At 43.1% G+C, this 21,495-nt stretch overlaps 1 protein-coding gene across 4 annotated transcripts in view, besides 3 other annotated features; it reads right to left on the reverse strand.

Annotated features, from left to right (window-relative positions):
* GABBR2 (gamma-aminobutyric acid type B receptor subunit 2) overlaps nt 1-21,495 on the reverse strand; it is a 420,827-nt gene that overhangs the window by 39,782 nt on the left and 359,550 nt on the right. The gene's annotated exons all lie outside the window — the stretch shown is intronic.
* Nucleotides 3,997-4,291: a silencer, noted in NCBI's record as "tiled region #5055; HepG2 Repressive non-DNase unmatched - State 24:Quies". NCBI's record gives its function as "represses a minimal TATA promoter and a strong SV40 promoter by Sharpr-MPRA in HepG2 cells {active_cell/tissue: HepG2}" and the evidence as "EXISTENCE:reporter gene assay evidence [ECO:0000049][PMID:27701403]".
* Nucleotides 4,784-4,928: an enhancer, noted in NCBI's record as "145 bp enhancer 175 fragment used in the MPRA reporter construct; PK_construct_4053". NCBI's record gives its function as "activates an SV40 promoter by MPRA in K562 cells {active_cell/tissue: K562}" and the evidence as "EXISTENCE:reporter gene assay evidence [ECO:0000049][PMID:23512712]".
* Nucleotides 4,848-4,865: a transcriptional cis regulatory region, noted in NCBI's record as "GATA motif; enhancer activity is reduced when this motif is scrambled". NCBI's record gives its function as "necessary for full MPRA enhancer 175 activity {active_cell/tissue: K562}" and the evidence as "EXISTENCE:site-directed mutagenesis evidence [ECO:0005528][PMID:23512712]".

The raw sequence follows: 21,495 nt of genomic DNA on the forward strand, positions 1-21,495 counted from the left end.
AAAACTGCAGAACTTTCCAGAGCCTTTAACCTGCTAAAAGTATATTATACATTTCCAAGAAGCAGATATGTAGTTTTGAGGATTTCTTAAACTTCAGACCGTATGATCTTCCATTCCCTTTTATTTTGGGACAGCTAATGGGATCAATATTCTAAACCATATACTTTGGGTGGATATTGGCTTTTAGGATAAAGTCTGTACTTCTCAAGGTCACATTTAAGGTCCTCCCAGGACCTGGTCCAAGGCCACCCTCCAGCCTCATCTCACAAACCCCTGTCTCCATCTGTCCCAGGGTTCAATTCCCGTGCTTCCTCCCCCTAGACTTCTTAGTGTCTAGCATCTCACTCCATGCTAGGGTATATGGGGTTCTTTGAGCTGTGACGTGGAGAGAAAACAAGGATTGAGGAAGAATGTCAGAAACTTAACAATACAGCCTCTATTTGGGAGAATGTTAAAAACACTCTATTAGTGACGTGGCTGATTTGAAAAATGGGAAATGATGATTGTGCGACTAATTGAAAGCCATGTGTTTACCGAGGCTCAAAGAATCCCTTTTAGAAATGGGAACTGGGCCCGCATATGCCAATGAGCAAGGCAAAATGGGTGCACGTTGCAAACAAAAAGTACCAAGAAATGCTGGGCAGAACCAAAGATATCAATGTAATTAATAAAGTAATTAACATGCACAGGAAGTGCAAAAGCTGCCAGGAGGCTGATAAGAGAGGGTTATTAAAAAAGAATGAGCAGTGTAGCAGGGAAGTGAAATTAAGTTTTGCATTTTTTCTTTATCACAGACCCCCAAAATACTCTATGAGTAATAAATAGGCCTTGACTTACTGCAGACATACCAATGAGGCTGGGGCCAGAACTGCCTGGTGACCCTCTCCCTGGACAATAAACACATCAATTCATCAGTCAGCCAGTCACTGAGAATGTGGGGAAGTCCAGTCGACTAGGAGACAGGGGGTATGGTGGGTAGCAAGGTGGTTAAAGGTGCCAGCTTTGGAGCCAGGCTGCCTGAGCTCTAATCTCAATTCTGCCACTTACAAATGAGGTGACCTTGTGGCCACCATGTAACCTTATCATTACCATCTGTAAAATGGGGCTAGACATAGCACCTGTCTCATAGGATTGAGGATTAAATGGCCCAATATGTATAAAGCCCCTAGACCAGCGAGTGCCTGGCCCGAGTGAAACCCCACGTGGCAACCCACTCAAGAAGCAGCTCCCTGATGACATATGCACTCAGAAAAGGTTTCAAAGATTCACCAAGGAAGGGCAGAGCAAGCTGGTGTCTCCTCAGGTCATTTCTGCTGTGGACAGTCACCAGGGTGTTTGTAGGAATGGTTTAAACTGGTAGCTTGTCCTTAGTCACCTATCTGACTCTGAAAGTCCAGGTAAATCTATGCCTTGGTTTCCCCATCAGGAAAATGAGAGATTTGCTTAGATTTCTTGGGTCGTTTCCGGCTCTGAAATTCTATGACTAAACACCTAGTCACACAGACAATTGTTAATTATGGAGGGAGCAAAACCAGCCCTGCCTGGGGGCTCCTTCTCCTCCTCTGCTGCCTTCAAGCTCTATTCCAGGCACAAGGGTCCTCTTGGACCCTTGGGCTGGAAGCTGCAGAGTCATTGGGCTACTGTGCCTATACACGTCCCTAGCCACGTTCACCCACCCTGAGCCCTGTGGCTTGGGCCCCTGAGGCATCTCACCAATGGGGCATCTCGGCCCTGCCCTTCGGGGCTCATTCTCTCTTGCCCCCTCACTGTACCACCTCCTGAGCCTGTCCCTCTATCAGAGTGCTTTGTCTCTCCCACTCTCATTTTTTTCTTTTTCTCATACAGCAAAGCTGAACAGTACAACACACCCTTGTGTATTCTCCTCCAGGAGTCAATGATGGCTAACATTTTGCCATATCTGCTCCTCTCTCCCTTCCCTCCCCATCTCTCCTCTCCTCTCCTTTTCTTCTTCTTCTCTCTCTCTCTCTCTCACACACACACATGCACACTTTCCCTCCTAAACTGTTTGAAAGTCAATTGCAGACTCCATGACACTTCAGCATGAATGTACATAACCACAATATTATCATATCTATTAAAAGTAAAAATAATTTCGTAAAATTATCTGACAACCAGAGTAGGCGTTATCAAGAGCTCATCACATTCTCCACTGCTGAATTTCCTGTATGGCTCTCCAGTGCCTCCAGGTTAAAGTCCAAGCTCCCTCCAGCCCTGCATCTACTTTCTATCGGCAAGCTGCCAGACCCAACCAATTCTTGAACTCTTCTCCAGATACACCCTACATTTTCCTGCTCAAGGGGTTTCATCTACCTGGAATATCGACTCCTTGAGGTTTTACCCATCTTTTGAAGACTTGGCAAAAATTCTATGTTGTCCAAGAAACCCTCTAAAATCACTCTAGTTGAAATGCATGCATCTTTCTTTTCATATCTCCATGACACCTGAGAAGCAAATGTAATGACATATTTCATACATGGAGGAGAGCAGGGACAAAAAAATCACAGAAATGGAACTGATCCCTGATCAAACTGTGCCTGAAGTCCACTTTACTGCTGGACCTTTTCAAGATGCCAATATATTCCCTCTATTGTTTATGCCAGTTTGAGTTACTTGCAACCGACAACATCTAACAGATACTACAGGTATTGGACCCGACAATCATTTAGCCTTCTAAAGCTGTGAAGCCACAGAAGAAAAATATAGTGCATCATGCTCCAGTATTGGACACTTGCTCTTCTCCAAGAGCATGTCCCCCTCTCTCTACCTTTGCTTTCACTGTTTCTTTACCTGGAATGTCCTTATGTATCTTTTCCTGTCTTTTTCTTTTTGAAAGTGAGGTAAGATTCACATAGCACAAAATTCACAATTTAAACCATTTTAGGTGTATAATTCAGTAGTTTTTAATATAGTCACAATGCTGTGCAATTAGCACGGCTATCTCATAGTTTTCATCACCCCCAAAAGAAACCCATATCCATTAGCAATCACTCTCCATCTCTCCTTCCCTAGCCCGAAGCAACCACTAATCTAGTTTCTGTCTCTGTGGATTTGCCGGTTTGGGACATTTTACACCAATAGAATCATACAATATGTGGCCTTTTGCGTCTGGCTTCTTTCACTGAACATAATGTTTTCAAGGTTCATCAACGTTGTAGCATGCGTCAGTACTTCATTCTTTTTGCAGCTGAGTAATATTTCCCTGTATGGATAGACCACATTTTGTTTATTCATTCATCAGCAGATGAACATTTGGGTTGTTTCCACTTTTTGGCATTATAAATAGCTCTCCTATAAACATTCATGTCTATGTTTTTGAGCAGATGTTTTCATTTTCCTTGTGTGTATACCTAGGAGTGAACTTGCTGGGTCTTAATAGTAACTCTGTTTAACGTTTTCAGGAAAGGATGAACTATTTTGCACAGCTTCTGTTTTCTTTATCCAAATCCTATTTGTTCTTTGAAGACTTGGGGGAAAAGTCCCTCTTCTTTTTTTTTTTTTTTTTTTTTTTTTGTGAAACATTTCTCAAGGCAGGATGAGCAGCCACCTCCTCTGCGTTTCCACAGGGCCCCGGGCGGAGCTATTCTAGCACTTGCCACCTACACTGCCATTGTCAATTAACTTGTCCCCCTGGACTGGGGGAGTCCTGAGATCAGGGGCTGCACCTAACCCATCATTGTGGCTCCAGCATCTGGCACATAGTGGGTGCCCAGTAAATGTGGGTTTGGCAGATGAATGAATGACACGTGTCTCTCTAGTGGCTCTATGGTGCACCTGAGCTCCACGAAGTCTTCTTCATAACAGAGGACAGGCTGTGCTGAGCACCTCCTGGATGTGCGAGCCAGTGAGTGTGGGTGGGGCAGAGAGCGTGGAGCATGAGAAGGCACATGGGAAGTGGGAGTGGGAGCATGCATACATTTTAACCACACATGCGGCAAGTTCACAGACTGCCTTGGAATGAGCCAAATGAGACTGATCCAACCTGCTCATGCCTAGAAGGGGGAAGTGAGGACAATACACATGGACAAAAAGGTAGCAAAGAGCCTTGATCACAGACAGGTGCTGGAGATAACAACAGTCCAGCCCTCAGGCTGGGATAGAGCTCTGTTGCCTATGGAGCAATTTCCCATCCATCAGCTCATTTGACAGTCAGCATGGGGTATGAAGGAGCCGAGCTTTGGGGATTAGCAGGCCTGGCTTCTCACCTCTGAGCCCCACTTGCTACCTATGTGATTCAGAGCTCTCCAGGTGCTCCCCTGCAAAATGGAAACAGAACACTCTCTGCAGCAGAGTCTGCAGGATTAAATGAGTGGATGGCCATGGAAGTGCACTGGAAGGTGTAAATCTATCCTGCACGTTTGCTCTTGGCAGCAGTGCACCTCAGGACCTGGGAGGTTGGCAGGGTAGTTATGTCAGTTTTCTTAGGGAGTCAGGAAATTCTGGGGCAGGGAGTGGAAACAAATCAGACTGATTGACCTCCTTCTATGTGCCAGGCTCAGAACTAGGTACTTGAACATGTTATCTCAGTTAATGACGCTCACAGTAAACCTGTGAGGGAGGAATGAACTTCCCCTATGGGCACTGGGGCTCAGAGAGGTTAAGTCACTCACCCAAGGTCACGCAGCTGGGAGGTGGCAGAATCTGGTCCAAAACCTTGTATCATTGTGTTTACAGATGCCGCACTGTTCCTCCAAAGCACACAGTGCAGGGGCCTGGGCTGGTGACTGCATTCTATTTCCTTGGCATGTGAATGCATTTCCAGAAGCCTGCCATATATTTTTAATAATTGGTATGAACATGCAATCTCTCGTCAGCTGGCTTCCCGTCTGCTGTAAGACGCAGATAAGAAAGAAAGAGCCTGAACAGACACAGGAAAATCCTCCACGCCCATTGGCGGAAATCATGCAGGCCCTGAGTACCTTTCTCACTTTAATTCTTCGAGTCTTCTGTGTCTGAATCGTGGAAGAAAATGACTTCTTGGGTAAAATATTAAAACGCCACATGTGGATGTTCATAGTCTCGCTCTGGCAGCCCTGGTAATAATGGCTCAGAGAGGCCTCTGCAGCCTGGGTCTGGGAGTCAGATTTGATTCCTCTGAGATTCCTGAGCCAGGAACACGCTGGGCTGGGCTCAGGGGTCCCAGTGGCAACGAGTCAGACACAAGAAGATGGCAATGTGAAGGGCTGGCTTCCGTGGGCTCTGCAAGGGTTCAGGGCAGAGCAGCCAAAGGCCGGGTAATAAATGATGCTCTGTATGAGGGCTAACCTTCATCAAGTGCTCTCCAGGTGCTGGGTGTGGGCAAATCTTACAGGCATCCCTTCTAGTCCTCCCCAAAGCTCAGTAAAGTGGGCACTTCTCCTATCTAGGCCCATTTTAAGGCTGAAGCCCTCAGAAATGATACTCATTTTCTAGAGCTGTTGTAACAAACTACCATAAATTGGGCGGCTTAAAACAATAGACAATTAATCCTTGCACAGTTCTGGAGGCCAGAAGTCCAAAGTCAAGATGTCCGTTGGGCTGTGCTCCTTCTGAAGGCTCAAGAGAAGAATCCTGCCATGTCTTCTCCAGCTCCCGGTGGCCCCAGGCATTCCATGCTGTGGCTGCATCATTCTGCCTCCATCTCCGCATGGCCTTCTCCCCTGTGTCTGTGTCCCTCTATGTGTATTTTTTATAAGGACACCTGTCATCGAGTTTAGGGCCCATCCGGGTAATCCAAAATGATTTCTTCTGAAGACCCTTAACATAATGACATCTGCAAAGACCCCTTTAGCAAATAAGGCCACATTTCACAGGTCCAGGGGTAAGGATGCATATATCGTTTAGGGGGAATGACAATTCAGCCCAGTACACTAACCTAACTTCACACAGTAAGTGGCTGAACTGGGATTTGGAGTTAAGCCTAGCTCCAGAGTCTACTTGCTTAACCACTAAGGGCTACATGTTGTATATTTACCAGCTGTGTGACCATGGGCATGTTATTTAACCCCTCTGTGCCTCAGTTTCCTCATCTGTAGACTGGGGATAATAATGGTAATTCCCACATGGGGTTGTTGTGAAGACTGAATGAGTTGATAAAGCAAAGAACTTGGAACAGTGCTTACCACATAGCATGCACTCAAGAAAAGCTGTTGCTATGATTATTTTTGCTATTGTTACTCCTAAGACAATGCAGCTTTGTTGAAATCCTAGAAGAAGGCTGAGTAGATCTAGTACTAAGGATGAAGCGGGACTGGAAGGTGAAGCTCTCAGATCTAAACTTGCTGGATTTGAATATCTGTTCACTCTCATGAACCATCAACCAGATAATCACAGATGTGAAAGAGATTTAAGCATTTGTAAGAGAACATTATGCACAATTGGAAGCTAATAATTTTGAAAGCATCAATGAAGAAAAAGAAAACAAAGGGACGGATGCAAAAAGAAGCAGGAAGTGTGAATGGATCAATCCCAGTGGAAGGGATACTGACTCATCCAATACCACAAGGCTTGGGCTGGGTTCCAGTTCTCATGCGTAGCAAGCAAGGTTATCTCAGGCCAGTCAGGTCACCTACTCAGCTTTAGTTTCCTCTGATGAATCTCTAAAATGGGGATGTCAAGGTGCTTTGTGAACTTTGCCATGCTGTTGAAATGTGAGACACTGTTGTCATTATTATAGTACGTGTTTGCTTACTATTGGGTGCTTGCATGTGAGTAGGGTAAGCCTGGAGTTGGGGTACCAGTCCAGAGAAGGGCAAGAGTATGGGTGGGTGGGCTGGGAAGTGAGATTTGGGCAGGACCAGCAATGATCGTGTTTCTTCTGGCTGCTGTCCCCTAAGGGGTGGTTCACAGGTTGTCTCAGCCTCCTCTGACATGAACAGAGCATCTTTGGGGCATGTTAAATGTTTCATCCTTTGTCAAGGACAAAACAACTCAGTATTTGAAGCTTAATCCACTATCGCTTTAGGGAGAAACTTCAAGCTAAACAAGGGCAGAAAAGAATGAACATCCCACCACAGGGCTGGCGGTTCCTTTCCGAGCCACCATGAGTGCTGAGGTGCCTGGACACTGTGGTTCCCTTGTCCTTTTTTCTTCCCTGTTGGTTTCTGTGGTCAGTGGTTTCCTTGTGATTGTAGAGCACTTAGAAACAAACCTGCCTAAAGTTCTGGTGTGGAACTTGCTCACCCTCTGTCTTCCCATTGCAATGAACAATGCTGCAGAAATAGAAACCTCATAGAAACCTCCCTTTTTTCCTCTTCCTTGCTCTCTCTCTTCCACTGGAGAAACAATTGTTCAAATGCTAACACAAAGATTTTCAGAAAAATATGAGACCAGAGGGCCTGCGTAGCTCTTTGGGGTCTGCACACATGAACTCCCCAGGTGGGCCTCTCTCTGAGTCTGTAATTCTTTTGTCATCATCATCATCTCTGGCTGGCAGGGACCAACTGGACTTCAGATTTTCTGGATTCAGCCTTTTCTTCTTTTACTTTCTAGTCGTAAAAATTTATTGTCCTGAGTCTATTTATCACCCTGGTATCCAAGGTACAGTCTTGGGCCCTTCCTAGAGATTCGTGAGAGTCTGGACCAGAGAATCTCAACTCCGGCTGCACACCAGAACCCATGGCAACTTTAAAAAATTCCTGATGCACAGGGCCCTTTCTAAGCCAGTTAAATCAGATATTTTGGGGGGTGTGACCCGGGCCGGTATTTTCAAAAAGATCTTTTCTGGGTGATGTAGCAGGATTGAGAACCACGAGTCAAGTTTCTCTTTGAAATCATTCAACAACAACAACAACAACAACAACCAAACTTCCTCTTCACCTTTAAAACATTACTTATTTTTCTTTTTAGTATCAACATATTCATCCAATAGTTCAATCCAGCTACTGAGCAACCACATTACCTACTCAGCTGTTGTCAGTGCTGACAAGAATCATGCCAGGGAAGCTTGTCCATCATCCATTCATTCATGCACGCATTCCTTTGTTCATTCATTCACTCATCCATTCAACCAACATATATTGAGCTGTGTGTCTGTCTGGCCCTGTGCAAGGCCATGGAGAAAGAGCTCTGAGTAAGATAGTTAAGGGCCCTGTTTCATGGGGCTCACATTCTAGTGGATGATAGAATATAGATGAGAGAACGAGGAATAAGCAATGTGATGGAGAAACAGGGGAGGTGAGAAAGAATGTTGGGGGACATTTAAGGATCTGGTGATCAGGGAGGTGGCATTTAAGCTAGATCTGAATGACAGGAAAGAGTCTGAAAAGGTTTGGAGGAAGAGCGTTCCAGGCAGAAGAATCATGAATGCAAAGGCACAAAGTTGGGAATAAAGTTGGAGTGTTAGAGCTCCAGACAGAAGGCCCACATGGCTAAAGACTGGGGTGAGCACAGGGAGAGGAACTAGATGAAGTCAGATATGGAGTGGGACTGGATTGTGTAGGACCTGTAGCAAGGTAAGAAGTGTGGGTTTTATTTTAAATTGGAGAATTTTAAGTGCAAAATAGTAAGATACGTCGTGCGTTTAAAAAAGATATCTGGCTGGGCGCAGTGGCTCATGCCTATAATCCCAGCACTTTGGGAGGCCAAGGCGGGTGGATCACAAAGTCAGGAGTTTGAGACCAGCCTGGCCAATATGGTGAAACCCCGTCTCTACTAAAAAATACAAAAATTAGCCAGGCATGGTGGCATGTGCCTGTAGTCCCAGCTACTCGGGAGGCTGAGGCAGGAGAATCGCTTGAACCCAGGAGGCAGAGGTTGCAGTGAGCCAAGATCACGCCACTGACTCCAGCCTGAGCGACAGAGGGAGACTCTGTCTCAAAAACAAAAAAGTATCTTCCAGAATGGCAGATGTAAATCCTGCCTTTCCAGTAATTACATAAAATGGATTAAACACTCCAATTGAAATGCAGAGATTGGCAGAATGAATTAAAAAAAACATGATCTGACTATATTTGCTGTATATGTGACTCACTTTTGATTCAAAGATATAAGTAGGTTGAAAGTCTATCCGAGAATTTTTTGGCTATTCAGGAAAATGGAATATGAAGCATACAAATTGGAATGAAAGGAGCAAAACTCTCTATTTGCAAATTATATAATCTTATGGGTAGAAAATTCTAAAGAATCCACCAAGAAGGCTGGGTTCAGTGGCTCACACCTGTAATCCCAGCACTTTGGGAGGCCAAGACAGGTGGATTACCTGAGGTCAGGAGTTGAAGACCAGCCTGGACAACATAGTGAAACCCTGTCTCTACTAAAAATACAAAAATTAGCCAGGCATGGTGGTGGGTGCCTGTAACCTCAGCTACTCAGGAGGCCGAGGCACGAGAATCGCTTGAACCCGGGAGGCGGAGGTTGCAGTGAGCCAAGATTGCACCAATGCACTCCCGCCTGGGTGACAGAGTGAGACTCCATCTCGGAAGAAAAAAAAATTGCTGAAAGAAATTAAAGAAGACCTAAATAAATGAAAAGATAGCCCATGTTCATGAATTGGAAGACAATATTCTTAAGATGGCAATACTCCCCATATTATCTACAAACTCAAATCAACGCTTATGAAAATCCCAACAGCCTTTTTTACAGACATGAAAAAACTGATCGTATAAATCATATGGAATCTCAAGGGACCCTGCATAGCTAAAACAATCTTGCAAGAGAAGAAAAAAATCAGAAGACTCACACTTCCAATTTTAATTGCCACAAAGCTACAATAATCAAGTCAGCATGGTGTTGGCATAAGGATAGACATATAAATTGGTGGAATAGAATTGAGAATCCAGAAATACAAGTACACATCCATGGTCAGCTGATTTTCAACATGGGTTACAAGACTATTCAATGGGGAAAGGATATTCTTTTCAACAAGTGGTGTCCAGGGGCGGTAGCTCACGCCTATAATCCCAGCACTTTGGGAGGCTGAGGTCAGGAGTTTGAGACCAGGCTGGCCAAGAGCCTATTTTTTTAGTCTCTACTAAAAAAACAAAAATTAGCCAGGCATGGTGGTGGGTGCCTGTAATCCCAGTTACTCGGGAGGCTGAGGCAGGAGAATTGCTTGAACCTGGGAGGAGGAGTTTGCAGTGAGCTGAGATTGTGCCACTGTACTCCAGCCTGGGCGACAGAGTGAAACTCCGTCTCGAAAAAACCAAAACAAACAAGTGGTGCTTGCACAGCTATATATCCACGTGCAAAATAATTAATTTGGATCACTACCTCATACCATGTACAAAAACTAACTCAGAATGGATCAAATACCTAAATGTAAGAACAAATAGTATAAAACTCTTAGAAGAAGACATAAGTGTAAATCTTCATGAGCTTGGATCAGACAATAGTTTCTTAGCTATGACACCTAAAGCAGAAATAATAAAAGAAAAAATATATAAATTGCACTTTATCAAAATTAAAATTTTTCATGTGTCAGAGGACATTATTGAGAAAATGCAAAGACAACTCACAGAATGAGAGAAAATATTTGTAAATTATATATCTGACAAAGGCCTAGTATCTAGAATATATAAAGAACTCTTACAACTCCACAAAAAACAGATGAATAATTCAATTAAAAATGGGCAAAGTCTCTGAATAGACATTTCTCCAACAAAGATACATAAATGGCCAATAAGCATGTAAAAAGACACTCAGCACCATTAGTCATTAGTTATTTGATAGTCATTCTCATCAAAACCACCAGAAACCTTTATACTCACTAAGATGGCTATAATCAAAAAGGCAGATAAATAACAAGGATTGGCAGCAATGTGGAGAAATTGGAACCCTCATATATTGCTGGTGGGAATGTAAAATGGTGCAGCTACTGTGAAAAATTGGCCGTTCCTAAAAATGTTAACATGAGTTAACATGGTTACCATGTAGCCCAGCAATTCCACTCCCAGGTATATATCCAAGAGAACTAAAAGCATATGTTCACACAAAAATTTGTGCATGAATGCTCACATTAGCATTATTCATAATAGTCAAGAGTTGAAACAACCAAAATATCTATGAAATGTTGAATGGAAAAACAAAATGCAATATATTAAAACAAGGGGATATTACTTAGCCATAAAAAGAAATAAAGTGCAGATACATGAAGGAACCTTGAAAACATTACGCTAAGTGAAAGAAGCCAGGCACAAAAGTCCATAGATTGTTTGATTCCATTGACATGAAATGTCCACAATAGACAAATCCATAAAGGCTGAAAATAGATGAGTGGTTGCTAGGGACTGGAGGGAAGGGAAAAAGAAGGGGTGATGGATAAAAGAAGGTTTCTTTTTGGGGTGACAACGTTTTTCTCAAATAAGATAGTGGTGATAGTTGCACAGCTTTATGAATAGGCTAAAAACCACTAGGGTATACATTTAAAGACTGAATTTTATGATATGTGAATTATATCTCAAAAAAAAAAAAAAAAAAGAAACAAAAAGAAAAAGATCCCTCTGTCTGCCAGTCAGCCATGCAGAGAATGACTTGGAAGGAGCAATGAGCTGGAGTCTGCCTTGGAAAGCTATGATTACATCCACCACCACAAACAACTCAGTGACTTCAACAATAAAGGCTCTTTATTCACCAAACCACTTGCTCATTTTGCACCACCTGTAGCCTTGCCTCATTGCACCCCAACTCTGGAATGGCAGATGATAAGAGATGACGGTGGTGTGGACCCCAGTCACAGCAGTGGAGGCAGACAGAAGTGATGGATTAGGATGTGATTTGGCAATAGCGTCTGCAGAACAGGTACAAAATTTTTCAGAGAATAGCCCATAGATCTAACAAGATTTCTCTAAGGTGTGTTTCCTCAGTTATTCAACTAATATTATTTATTGAGTATGTACTATGTGCCAGGTACTTTTTCAGATGTTGAGGATATAGCAGTGAATGAAACACAACCCTCCCTCCCCCTGTATTCTCATGGAGCTCACATTCTAGTGAATGGTGTGGTATTTGTACAGCAACCAAAAGCCAGGGGAATATGCTAGTGTAGTCATCATGGCTGAATAGCAATACCTGGTTCTCTCTTTCCTTCTGGGCACACGGTAGGATTGCTCTTCCCTGGCTCACTGAACTCGGGCATGGACATATGATGCATTCTGGGCAATGAGATATGGGTAGAAGTGACATGTGACACTCTGGGGTGGAAGCTCAAAGCTGGCACACACTTTGCCGCACACTCTTTCCCTTTGCCACCAGCTGTGTCCCGGGGTAGGACACCATGGTGGGGGAAAGCTGCAGCTGGTTCTCAGTGGACAAGTGCTGTGATGAAAAAAGAACATTTATTGCTTTAATCCAGTGAGGGGTTTTTTTTTTTTTTTTGTTACTACAGCAAAACCTAGCAGACCCTGACTAATGCATGTTCTCTCTCACTTCTTTGCCCTCTGAGAGACATTAACCCAGATTCAATCTTAGTTCATACTTTAGAAAATTAAGTCCAGTGTCTCAGCACAGTAACTTAAACTTAAAACCAAGTGTTTGGAGGCAAATGTCATCAAGAGGGTACTGTTGCTGTTGTTTACAATCTATTCTGTGTGTGTGTTTCTCTCTCTCTCTTTTTTTTTTTGAGACGGGGTCTCGTCATGTTGCCCAGGCTAGTCTTGAACTCCTAGGCTCAAGTGATCCTCTTGCCTTGGCTTCCCAAAGTGTTGAAATTACAGGCATAAGCCACCACGCCTGGCTCATGCCTGTGTGTTTCTCTGATAGCATCAACCACAGACCTACCAGCAGCAAGCTGGTAACACCACCCTTTATGGACATACCTAATCTTGCTCATCAGACATGCAGTACGTAAGGGAGCATGGCAGACAATGGGTACCCCATAAATGCTGAAGGAGCACCCTGATGATGAACCATTTACCAAGAGGTAGGTTGGTTGGAGTTTACCCACAGAAAAGAGGGAAGGTCTTCATGGGGACTGCAGCCTGTATTTCTGCCAACATGGATGTGTGGCATTGGGTTAAAAATAATAAAAATTTAAAGACTCTTTTTGCTCAGGAACAAAAATGGCTTTAACAAGACAAATACAGTGGTCAGAAGAAGCCAGGATGTCACACAAGTTTCCAATCATTCTGTTCATGACACTTGAGAATTTCTAGCAAACAGCTCATGCCCTGAAGAGTTCCTGGACAGGTAGAGATGGAGAAGTTCCAGCTTCAGGGCTGGCCCTGGTGCTGTGGCTCTGTCTTTTGTGATTTGTGTCCTAATGGGCCTCTGGCTGGCCCCATGTGCTGCCCACAGACATAAGGGAAGCCAACAAGGAAGATGAAATCAACTGCAATCTCTCGTGAATCCAACACACCTTTCCACACAAGATGTTCCAGAATCGCGGCGGTGGCTGGCAGAGCTATTCTGTCCATACACTGGGCCCAGACACATCTGTGCCCACAATGCTGACTGCAGAGCCGAGCCGAGGCTGGGCCAGGATCCATGCCAGAAGGCACGTGGCTGTGGACACCCTTAAAATGTCTCTCTGGCATATCATTCCAATTAAATCTCGCCTGAAGTTCTTGTTTTAATAACTTAATCTAGAATTTACACCTTGCCTCCTCTCCCAGAGGGCTCAAGACAGCACACATTAAAAGCCTAAATACAACAGGACAGTTAAAAATAAAGACGAATGATCAGAAGGTGAGATAATCCTCCAGGAACCTGAGATAAGATGGTTATTGCGGCTGAGCGTTGAATTTGGCTCCAACTTTCTGGCAGCCAAGGTTAAAAAGAACACAGAGTGGCTTATCCAGTTACGATTGCCTGATGGAAGGAAGGAAGTAGATACAAGTTCACGGAGAGAGCACAGCCCATTTCCTGGTACTCAGTTCCACGAGGACCTAACCTGTGGATCTTTATCTCGGGGACACAAACTGAACAACATCCTTCGTAGTAGATGCTGAATCATGCTTCACTTGGCAGCCTCAGCCCCAGAAGTGGGCTCTTGACAAAAGGTGAGGGTGTAATATTAAATTAAATTGCAACTCGGCAAAGACATTTCTTCGAGAAGCCGGCTTAATGGGCCCAGACAGATGGGTTGAAATTGGACATATGGAGGCATGGGGAGAGCTCCAGGTGGAGGGAATAATTTAGTCAATAAATATTTACTGAATACTTACTTTGAGCCAGGCACTGGTGGTGGGTGCTGGGGACACACAGATGGCCATGGCCTTTGAGGAGGTCACAGACAAGAGGGGACCGGCACACAGACAGACAATGATCAGTTCTGTGACCAGAATGAGGGTGAACAGTGTGAGATGGAAGCACAGGACACAGGTGTCCATCCAGGCAGCCCATGTGGTCCACAGGCCCCTGGAGGAGATGCTTCTAAGCTGCCTCTCAAAGGTCAAGCAGGGATTTTACATATGAAGATGGCATATTGGGGGTGGAAAGGGGGTGTTCTGGGTAGAAGGTGCGCAGGCATAGAGGAAGAGAGTGGGATGCTTTGGAGAAGTAACAATAGCTCAGGGTAGCTGAGCACAAGGAACAAGGAAGGGGGTTGTGAGAGATAAGGCTAGGGAGGCGAGCCAGCCGGATCATCAAAGGCCTCCTGAGCTGAGCTAAGGAGTACAGACTTCATCCTTTAGCTGCTGGGGAAAATTTTAAACAGGAGAATGATGTGGTTAGAACTTCAGATGGGGTATGGTCCTCCCTAGGAGGAGTTGGCCAGGCTAATGGAGGCAGCCCATGGGTAATGGACCAACCAACGGCCCCTGTGGAGTTCCACTGCCCTGCCTGGACCATGGTCTGCATCTGGCTGGGGCCCCAGCCTGGCCATCCAGGGCACCATGGATAACTATGTGTGACAAGACCAGCCTCACTCACTGTTCAGGGCTGATGGCTCCAGCAGTGAGGACCCATCACTTGGAGTGTGACCCTTAGCATCCAAAGCCTTTGGCCACCAGGCCACCTGTGAGCAGCCTACTGGGTAGGGCAGACCCTGGTCTCCAGCACTTCCCCCACCCAGGCCATTACAATGTCTCTTTATTTTCAAATGAGTAGCGTGAAGTCAGGCTTGGACAGGCTTTATGAAGATACCAGCTGTTTCCTGAAAGTGCCTGCTTTAGGATTGACTTTTTTTCCCCCCAGAGCAGCTGTAGAGGGAGATAGAAGGTAAGAGTTGAAATTATTTAAAACTCTATGTGTTTGCCTCTTCCAATATCTGTTTCCATAGAAACATAACTGGTATAACCACCAGGCTCAAAGCCAAGTGTAGTTCCATGATTCCAAATCCCCTGTGTGCTTCCACAGAAGAATGGCAAGACTACGGAAGCTGGAGGAAAGTTCTGAAATATCCCTTTGTCCCAAATGGCCCTTAACTTGATTACTGCTCAAATGGCCAGAAAGCCACAGAAGCTAGAGTGTAGGGAATTCCTGACATAGGTTGCTTGGCATCCTGTGGGGACCAGGATGAGAGAAGACTTCGGGGTGTGCAGGCAGCCTCAGGATCCTGCCACAGTGGCTGCCCTGTGGTTCCGTGGCTCACCTGGGTGTTCAATATTCAGTGACCTTGAGTGCTGTCTGCCATGTCGCTCCATTTCAAGACCATTTTGGAATGGTCAGGTGGAGGTGTAAATGGTGGCTTGCTATGAAAGGAAGGCTTGGGAAAAAATGAACAACCCTCCACCTAGGATCACACCATCTGTATGTACTGAGTTTACTTTTGGGGAAAATTATCTCAAATTATTTTCCTTAAAAGAAAAGAATCCTGGCCGGGCGCGGTGGCTCACACCTGTAATCCCAGCACTTTGGGAGGCCGAGGCAGGCAGATCATGAGGTCAGGAGTTTGAGACCAGCCTGATTAACATGGTGAAATCCCTTGTCTACCAAAAATACAAAAATTAGCCGGGTATGGTGGCGGACGCCTGTAGTCCCAGCTACTCAGGAGGCTGAGGCAGGAGAATGTCGTGAACCCGGGAGGTGGAGCTTGCAGTGAGCCGAGATTGCCCCACTGCACTCCAGCCTGGGTGACAAAGCAAGACTCCGTCAAAATAAAAAAAAGAAAAAAAGAAAAAAATCCCATATGGAGGTGTGTGCATATACTCACACATACATACTGTCAATTCGTGGCCCTAATCTTACTTGATCTAAAAGCAGCATTTGACGCAGTTCATCAAAACTTCCTCCTTGAAACACTTTCTTCATTTGGTTTCCAAGACACCAAACTCATCTGATTTTCTTCCTATTGCTGAGCTTCTGCTAGGTCTTCTTTGTCAATTTCCCCCACCTTTCCAGTCTCCAAACATGCACAGGATCCAGGGTGAGTCCTTGGTCCCCTTCTCTTCTCCATCGCTCTGACTGCTCTTGGTGCCCTCATCCAAGATTGTCATTGCCATCCATAAGCTGCCCCATCTGAGTTCCCATCTCCAGCCCACACCTCTCCCTGAACTTCAGATCCGTATGTCCAACACCTACTCACCGTCACCACAAGTAGAGTAGGTGCTCAAAAAAGAGAGCTATTTTCCTTTTTTCCAAGAATACAAATCATATTTTAAAAACCTTTTTAACATATTTGGCAGGTTTATCTACACCTGCTATATCTGAAATGCAGAAACAGCCAATCTTTCCATCAGACTCTAAAGAAGAGGAAAGGCTGAGATGGGATGCAGGAGCACTGAGCACAGGGCCAGTTCATGGGACACCTGTCAGTCCTTGCCTCAGTCTGGGGCATTTGTCTCTGGAGCCCTCACTCTCCCTTTTCAAATTCTTCCATTTGTGAATGGCTCTCTCTTGACCATCTGCCTGGGGACAGCTCTCTCTCCTGTCCCCTCACCAGTGATGGTTCTCTCTCCTGGTATCCCACTGCTTAAAATTCTCCTTCCCTGGCTCGTCCTCCTGTGCGCATGGCTGTTTAATCACTCAGTGATTCCCGGGGCTCCTATGGGGACTTCTTCACTTCTCACTGCACCCACTTTCTCTGGGTTACTACACTCACTCTCATGACTCTATCCTCAATGTGCTAACTAGCTGCTTCCCCACAAATCTCTACCGACTGGACAAACTACTCTTTTGTCCACTGGGACCCTGCAGCCCATCTTCTTAGCCCTTTTGCCTAGAAGGCCCTCAGGTGACTCAAACTTATGGCCAGAAATGAATTCCCCATGTTGCCTCCCAAGCCCATTCTCATTCCACACCTGCCTTAATGAAGAGGTTCCCCAAGCACCCCAGGCAGAAATCTGAGCATTGCCCTCCCTGCCCCCATATCACTACCCCTTAGAGTCAGTCAATCACCACGTCTCGTCATGTCTGCTCCCTACATAGCTCTCAAATCCACACCCTTCTCTGTTCCCACTGTGACTGCCCTGGCTTAGGTCGCCATCAGCTTTTGCCTGAATTACTGCAAAAACATCCAGCTATCACTGGGCTTCCAGCCTCGCCCCTCCATCTGTTCTCACCGTGCAGCCAGGGCAAAGCTGATCATGTCACTCCCCTGATGAGATATCTTTAATTTTGAAGTTTAAACTCCTCTTCTTAGCACACAAGATCCCTAACAATCTTAGCTCTGCCTGAGTCATCATTCGACCTTCCTCTAATTTCCTCAAAGGCATCCTCAGTTTTGGCCATCAAAACTATTCAAAACTATTTCATAGTGGCTTTTTAACTTTTTAAGAAAAGAAAAGATACATTAACCTACTTAATGGTGAAAAACTAGATGCTTTTCCTGAAGACTGAGAACAAAGCAAGTATGTCCCCTCCCACCACTCCTATTCAACATTGTACTAGAAGTTCTAGTTAATGCAGTAAGTCAAGAAAGGAAATAAGAAGTATACAGACTGGGAAGGAAGAAATAAAATTGTCTCTGTTTGCAAATGACATGATCGTCTATATAGAAAGTCCCAAAGAATCAACACAAAAACTCTTGGAACTAACAGGTAATTATAGCAAAGTTTCAGGATATTAGGCTAATATACAAAAATCACTTGCTTTCCTATACAGGCACACCTCAAAGATACTGCAGGTTAGATTCCAGACCACTGCAATAAAGTGGATATCTCAATACAGTGAGCCACACAAATTTTTGGTTTCCCAGTGTACATAAAAGTTATGTTGACACTATACAGTATTCTATTAAATGTGCAGTAGCATTATGTCTAACAAACAATATACATACTTTAATTAAAAATACCTTATTGTTAAAAATGCTAATGATCATCTGAGCCTTCAGTGAGTGGTAATCTTTTCGTTAGCGGAGGGTTTTACCTCCTTATTGATGGCAGCTGACTGACCCACGTGTGGTTTCTGCTGAAGGCTGGGGTGGCTGTAGCAATTTCTTAAGATAATAACGGAGTCTGCTGCATTGATTGATTCTGCTTTTCGTAAATGATTTCTTTGTATCATGCAATGCTGTTTGATAGCATTTTACCCACAGTAGAACTTTCAAAATTGGAATCAATCCTCTCAAACCCTGCTGCTTTATCAACTAAGTTTATGGAATATTCTAAGTTCTTTGTTGTCATTTCAACAATGTTCACAGCATCTTCATCAGGAGTAGTTTCCATCTCAAGAAACCACTTTCTTTGCTTTTCCATAAGAAGCAACTCCTCACTCATGAAAGTTATTTTTTCCTTTTATTTTTAGTTGACATGTAATAATTGTACATATTTATGGGATACAGACTATTTTGGTGTGTGTATAAAATGTGTAATAATGAAATCAGCATAATTAGCATTCCTATCACCTTGAACATTTATCATTTCTTTATATTGTGAACATTCAAAATCCTCTCTTCTAGCTTTGTGAAAATATATAATAAATTATAGTTAACCGTATTCATCCTGCAGTGCTGCAGAACACGGGAATTCATTCCTCCAGTCTAGCTGTAACTTTGTATTTGTTAACCAACCTCTCCCCATACTCCCCTACCTTCTACTCTTTCCAATCTCCAGTACCCACGATTCTACCCTCTTCTTCCATGAGCTCAGTTTTTTTTTCTGCTTCCAGATATGAGTGAGAACACATGGTATTTATCTTTCTGTGCCTGACTTATTTCACTTAACATAATATCCTCCAGGCTCATTCATGTTGTTGTGAATGACAGGATTTCATTCTTTTTTATGGTTAAATAGTATCCCATTGTGTATATATACAGCACATTTTCTTTATCCATTTTTCTGTTGATGGACATTGAGGTTGATTCCATATCTTAGGAACTGTGAATAATGCAATAAATATAGGGGTGCAAGTATCCTTTTGATATATTGATTTCCTTTCCTTTGGATAAACACCCAGTAGTGGGATTGCTGAATCATATGGTAGTTCTATTTTTAGTTTCCTGAGAAACCCCCACATTATTTTCCATAATTGTTGTACTAATTTACATTCCCACCAACAGTGTATAAGAATTCTCTTTTTTCTGCATCCTTGCCAACATTTGTTACTTTTTGTCTTTTTGAAAATAGCCATTCTAACCGGGGTGAGATGATACCTCACTGTGGTTTTGATTTGCATTTCCTTGATAATTAGTGATGGTGAACACTTTTTCATGTATTTGTTGGCTATTTGTATGTCTTCTTTTGAGAAATATCTATTCTGATCCTTTGTCTTCATTTTAATCAAATTATTTCATTTTTTTCCTGTTGAGTTCCTTGTATATTCTGGACATTAGTCCCTTGTTGGATAAATAGTTTCCAAGTATTTTCTCTCATTTTACAGGTTGTCTCTTCACTCTGTTGATTGTTTCCTTTGCTATGCAGAGGTCTTTTCGTTTCATATAGTCCAATTTATCTATTTTTGTTTTTGTTGTCTGTGCTTTTAAAGTTGTAGCCATAAAATCTTTGCTTAAACCAATGTTTTGAAGCATTTCCCCTATATTTTATTCTAGTAGTTCTATATATTCAGGGCTTACATTTAAGTCTTTAATCCATTTTGAGTTGATTTTTGTGTATGGTGAGAAATAGGGGTTGATATGGTTTGGTTCTGTGTCCCCACCCAAATCTCACCTTTAATTGTAATAATCCCCACATGTCAAGGGTGGCGCCAGGTGGAGATAATTGAATCATGGGGGCAATTTCCCCCATACTATTCTTGTGATAGTAAGTAAGTCTCACGAGACCTGATGGTTTCATAAATAGGAGTCCCCCTGCGCAAGCTCTCTTGCCTGCCACCATTTAAGATGTGCCTTTGATTCTCCTTTTCCTTCCACCATGATTGTGAAGCCTCTGCAACCATGTGGAACTGTGAGTCTATTAAACCTCTTTCCTTTTTAATTTACCCAGTCTTGGGTGTGTCTTTATTAGCAGTGTGAGAGCAGACTAATACAGGGGTCTAGTTTCATTCTTCTGTATATGAATATCCAGTTTTCACAGCATCATTTATAAAGAAGGTGTCCTTTCCCCAGTATATGTTCTTGACACCTTTGTCAAAAATCAGTTGGCTATAAATATGTGGATTTATTTAGGGGCTTTCTATTCTGTTCCGTTGGTCTATGGTCTGTTTTCATACAAATATCATCTGCTTTGGTTACTATAGCTTTGTAGTATATTTTGCAGTCAAGTAGTTGAATGCCTTCTGCTTTATATCTTTTGCTCAGTATTGCCTTGGCTATTCAGGGTCTTTTGTGGTTCCATATGAATTTTCAGATTGTTTTTTCTATTTCTGTGAAGAATGTCATTGACCTTTTGATAGGGATTACGTTGAATCTGTGGACTGCCTGGGGCAGTATGGTCATTTTAACAATATTAATTCTTCTAATCCCCGAACATGAGATGTTTTTGCATTTCTTTGTGTTCTCTTCAATTTCTTTCATTGGTGTTTTGTAGTTTTCATTGTAGAGGTCTTTCACTTCCTTGGTCAATTTATTCCTAGACATTTTTTGTAGCTATTATAAATGAAATTGCTTTATTTCTTTTTCAGCTAATTTGTTATTGGTGTATAGAGATACTACTGACTTTTACATCTTGATTTTCTATCCTACAACTTTACTGAATTTATTGATTTGTTCTAAGAGTACTTTTGGTGGAGTCTTTAGGTTTTTATAAAATATATAAGATCATATCATCTGCAAAGAGGAACAATTTGACTCCCCCCTTTCCCTTTTGGATGCTCTTTATTTCTTTCTCTTGCCTAATTGCTCTGGCTAGGACTTCCAGTACTGTGTTAAAGAAGACTAGTGAAAGTGAGCATCCTTGTCTTGTTTCAGTTCTTAGAAGAAAGGCTTTCAGCCTTTCTCCATTCAGTATGATATTAGCTGTAGGTTTGTCATAGATGGCCTTTAGTATGTTGAAATATGTTTCTTCTATGCCTAATTTGTTGAATTTTTTTTTATCATGAAGGGATGTTGAATTTTATAAAATGCTTTTCTGTATTTATTTAGATAACAATATGGTTTTTGTCCTTCATTCTCTTAATGCAATATATTACATTTATTGATCTGTTTACGTTGAATCATTCTTGCAACCCTAGGATAAATCCCACTTGGTCGTGGTGTATTATCTTTTTGATGTGTTGTTGGATTTGGTTTGCCAATATTTTGTTGAAGTTTTGTTTTTTTTTTTTTTTTTTTTTTTTTTTTTTCGGGAC

The sequence above is a fragment of the Homo sapiens genome, chromosome 9 (genome assembly GCF_000001405.40).
Source record: "Homo sapiens chromosome 9, GRCh38.p14 Primary Assembly".
Classification (NCBI taxonomy): domain Eukaryota; kingdom Metazoa; phylum Chordata; class Mammalia; order Primates; family Hominidae; genus Homo; species Homo sapiens.